Consider the following 4,137-nt stretch of genomic DNA (forward strand, 5'->3'; position numbering starts at 1 on the left):
TCACTTCTGTTTGTTTCCACCTGTGGATATTAATGTGAGCATATTTTAAGTGTATACATTTGGTTACATAAAACCAAATTACAGAAAATTACCTCTATTTTCCTAGGCCCAATCAGCGTCTTTCTTTTTTAACTCCCATGCAGGATAGAAATTGAATGGGGATCTGAGACGTGCGGGATGAGTGGGACTGAGCCTCCTCTGGAGCGTCAGCTCCAGGAAAATGCTGGAGGTGGAGCCGATTACCAACGGGGTCACAGTTGCACCCGCAATGTCTTCAGAAGAAATAGTCCCCTTCCTCCCTGAGCATTTCGGAGCTGCTCTGAGGCCTGGCGAGGCTCCAGAAGGCCCAGTGACCTTCGCAAGGTCTGATGTGGGCTCACAGTGTGTGGGGCGGTTTCCAGGCGCTCACAAGGACCGCCGTTTCCTCCGGCCGCCTGCCCCCTGCCCCCTGCCCCCTGCCCCCTGCCCCCTGCCCCCTGCCCCCTGCCCCCTGCCCCCTGCCCCCTGCCCCCTCGGGACTTTCCTCTAGGCTGAAGGGTGCTGGCGCAGGCGCTAAGATGTTTATAATAATTTAAGCTTAACGCTCGGAAAATACTTTCTAAGGAGCAAGGAAATGCTTTTTCTGGTTTGTTTCTCACATCTTAGAATCATACTCATCCAGTTAGGGTTACGGTTAGAGGTAGAGTTAGGGTTAGGGTTAGTTGTTCTTTAAAAACGTTAGTCTTTTTAAGTAAAATGTGAGTCTTTAAAAGATGCTTTCAGTGACACCGTGGGCTTCAGGGGAGAGGGTCAGTCTGAGTCTGTCACCACGGGCTCGAGACACACACCCCCGCCCCCCGCCATGGCTATGGTGGAATTGTGGGTGAACCTGGGCGTCTTCAAATGTTCTTTTAGTGCGAGGCACTTCAGGGTGGCATGGGCAGCGACTTTCCACAGGCCTGGGGGGCGTTTTCTGAAAGCACCTGCTGTGTGGCCCCAGCAATGTCCCCGATGGAGAGAGACACAGGCGAGCACACAGCAGGGACCCCTGGGTGACAGCAGGCAGCTCCAAGGTTCCTTGTCAGCTCCGGAGGCCGCGGCCCTCTAGCCATCACCATCAGACCTTGCTGTATGAGGAGCGCCTGGCTCAGCTGCTTTCTTAAACTCACTTTCAACCAAGCAATGAATAACTGAGGACCCATCGGGAGCCAGCGGGGTGCCGGCCTCTGGCTTGAGGCAGATTGTATCTGTTCACATCTGCCCTTGTCTATCTGGTGCGACACCCAGCAGGGAAGGGAGGAGGGGAGGGACACGGTCTGGACGCTCCCTGCTCGCTGGCAGGTCATGGTGTGGCAAGGCTGTAGGAAGAGCGGCCTGCTTCCCACAGCTGCACCGCCCAGGCCTTCCTCTCCTTCGCGTCTGCCCATAAGAACTTATCACCATTGCAGCCCCATCAGAAAGACTGTGTTTGAGGTGAAGGAAGGTTTAATACCTTTAAAAAATCCATTTTACAAGATGAGATGGATCCAGATGTGGACCACGGCTCACCACAGGATGACTCCCGCCAGCATTCCCTGCAGACTCTCAAAGGGCATCCATGCAGTGGCGCGTGTGACACTCCACGCAGCAAGGCTCTGCCGCAGGGGTCAGTGCGGAGGGGGCGGCCGCAAAGCTGGGGACAGGCCCGGGGGCCCACAGGGTCCCCACATTCCATGTAGCAAGGCTCTGCCCCTGGGGTCTGTGTGGAGGGGGTGGCGGCGAAGCTGGGGACAGGCCCGGGGGCCCGCAGATGCTCTGCACAGTACCAGCTCCCTACAGCTCGGACTGGATTCAGCGGGGGTCCCGCCTATGCTGGCAAGGCCAGATCAAGGGGTACAATTATATAAAAGGGGTAAGATGTTGGTTTGAGGGATGAACTGGAAATACTACGTCTGCCCGTCCCCTGTCCCCTCCTCCCTTTTCCCCTCCCTTCCTCCTTCCTTTCCATCTTTCCTTCCTCCCTCCCTCTCTCTTCCGTCTTACACATGTGGCTGCACATGTGACGGGGAGCGCGGGAGCCATCCCCACAGGGCAGGGGAGACAGGAAGGTGATAGGCGAGGCCGGACTGTGAAAGGACGGCAGGGCAGGGCGTGAGGCAGCCCAGAGCCCAGGCCAAGAGCTGGCAGGAGGCAGGATTGCCTGTGGGATGGGGCAGCAGAGGCAGGGCAGTGGCGGTCTGCGGTGGGAAGGAGGGCGGCTGGGAGAGACGAGGCTGGCAGGGACGTCCAGAGGCCTCAGCCCAACTGGTCCTGGAATCCCATGGAAAAGTGCTGTTGCGGGGCGGGGGTAGGGGGGTGGCGGCGTTAGCAGGATGGCATCCGAATCAAATGTGTGTTCCTTTACGTTCAGGGGAAAGTGGGTCTGGAAGAAGGCCCGGGGCCAGGGCAGGTCACAGAGGCTCTTCCAATGGCCAGGCCAGGGGTTCAGGTGGTGTAGACCTGGAGCAGAGAGACCCCCAGGAGTGGGGAGGAGGACTTTGGGGTGCAGGTGATGGCAGGCACAGGGAGGTTGGGGAGTCATCACCCATCCTTAGTGCTGTGGATGGAAGCGTCCCCAGAGGCAGAGGAGCAGATGGGGGTTTGGCAGGAGGAGGGGAGTTTGTCTTAAGACGTGGAGACGTCCAGTGGTGGATCTGCAGGTGGAAGCTCCGGAGAGAGGCGGGGGCTGAGAGCACAGAGCTGGGCCAGTGGCACTCAGCTAGTACTGAAGCCACGGCAGCCTCGCTGATGCTGGCCCGAGCCGGCCGCCCCTGCACCTCACAGGCTTCCTGCAACCTTACCAGGCGCAGGCCAGGGTCTGCCAGTATCTTCTGTCTCATGGTGCTGCATTTCTTCTGGCCTCCTCCTTAGATGCCTTCCAGCCAAACATCATCAAAGTCTTGAGAATTGTTCAGGAACATTTGGGTCAAAACCCAGTCACAGGTCCCAGCCCAGCTGCAAGGGGGTTAGGGTGCAGTAGTATCCTGTGTGGGGAAGAGGCATGGATTTGGTGGATGTCCTGCCTGTCCTTGCCACACCCAAGAGTGGGCCCTATTACCCAAGGGCAGTTGGGGGATAGGAGGTGCGGGGCTTTCCTGGGTGAGGTGAGGTCACAGAATGTGGGCGAGGAGAGGGCTTCAAAAAGGGAGGGGCAGGCAGCTCAGAGGTCAGGACAAGGGCAGATACACATCCAGGGGTTTTCATGGAAAAATCAATCTTTTGCAATTTCAAACTGGACAGTACCTACGCAAAGCTACCCTTTCACATACTGCATTTGTTTACTCTCCCAGCCTGGTGTGGACTAAACAGAGTCGGTTAGAAAAGTGTTCTGATGCAGTCACAGCTTTCAAGGCCTCAGCTTGCATAATTACAAGGGGCAGGAGCTGAAATTTCATCTGTGCGACATCAGCTCAAAAGGAGCCGAGACTGGAAGAAACCGGGAGCTATGATTTGCACTGTGATAACTTAAGTGAAATAAATCGATGATTCCAAATGGAAAAAAATGACCAGGTCTATTTCTATAGACTTTAAAGATTATCCAGGTTAGAAATTTCCGCAAATGGGACAAAGATAAAATCAGTTGTTCACTAGTACCTATTTTAACACCTATAAGGCAGTGTAAAAATTGGCTTTATCATGTTAATATCTTGCTATAAATTTTGACATTAGTATTGTTCATTTTGAGCACAGACCTGGGCTTGCTGGCTAAAACACAGAGCTCTAGAACAGTTTCCATGAGGATGGGTAAATTAGGGAGTGCCTGTCCATGCTAGCCCAAGGGCCAGGTTCACCTGCACGCTCGGCACATTGCAGGATAGCTGTCAGTTTATTTGTCCTTCTCCCTGTCTGCAAGCCAAGTGCTTCATGCAGGTGTGATACACAGGAGGTGTGCAATAAATGTTGAATAATTGAGCAACTATATTTGCATTATTTTATTTGATTTTCCCAATCATCCTGCAAAAGTGAGAAAGGACAAACGGGATCTTCATTTTACTTTTCTATTTTTTTAAATATTGAACAGGGAGCCTGCGTGGGCCCCAGGTTTACACCTGAGGATGCTGAGGATGAAAAGCGATTTGCCCAAGTGGGTGGGCATCACAGCTGCCCCTTGACCTTGGGATTCTCTGAATCTGAGGCGCG

At 54.3% G+C, this 4,137-nt stretch overlaps 1 long non-coding RNA gene across 2 annotated transcripts, besides 1 other annotated feature; it reads left to right on the top strand.

The window, feature by feature from the left end:
- Positions 1-4,137: part of a sequence alteration artifact (region identified as an assembly artifact by the Genome Reference Consortium. This region falsely duplicates sequence located at GRCh38 chr13:111668942..111703855) that runs on past both edges of the window.
- Positions 537-3,435, top strand: LOC102724510 (uncharacterized). Of its 2 annotated transcripts, none has more exons than XR_931736.2 (3): positions 537-625; positions 1,428-1,624; positions 3,288-3,435. It is a non-coding gene; the product is annotated as an uncharacterized LOC102724510 (long non-coding RNA). The 2 variants fall into 2 exon arrangements; XR_429281.3 differs by having other exon boundaries at positions 1,495-1,624.

This window comes from Homo sapiens, chromosome 13, assembly GCF_000001405.40.
Source record: "Homo sapiens chromosome 13, GRCh38.p14 Primary Assembly".
Classification (NCBI taxonomy): Eukaryota; Metazoa; Chordata; class Mammalia; order Primates; family Hominidae; genus Homo; species Homo sapiens.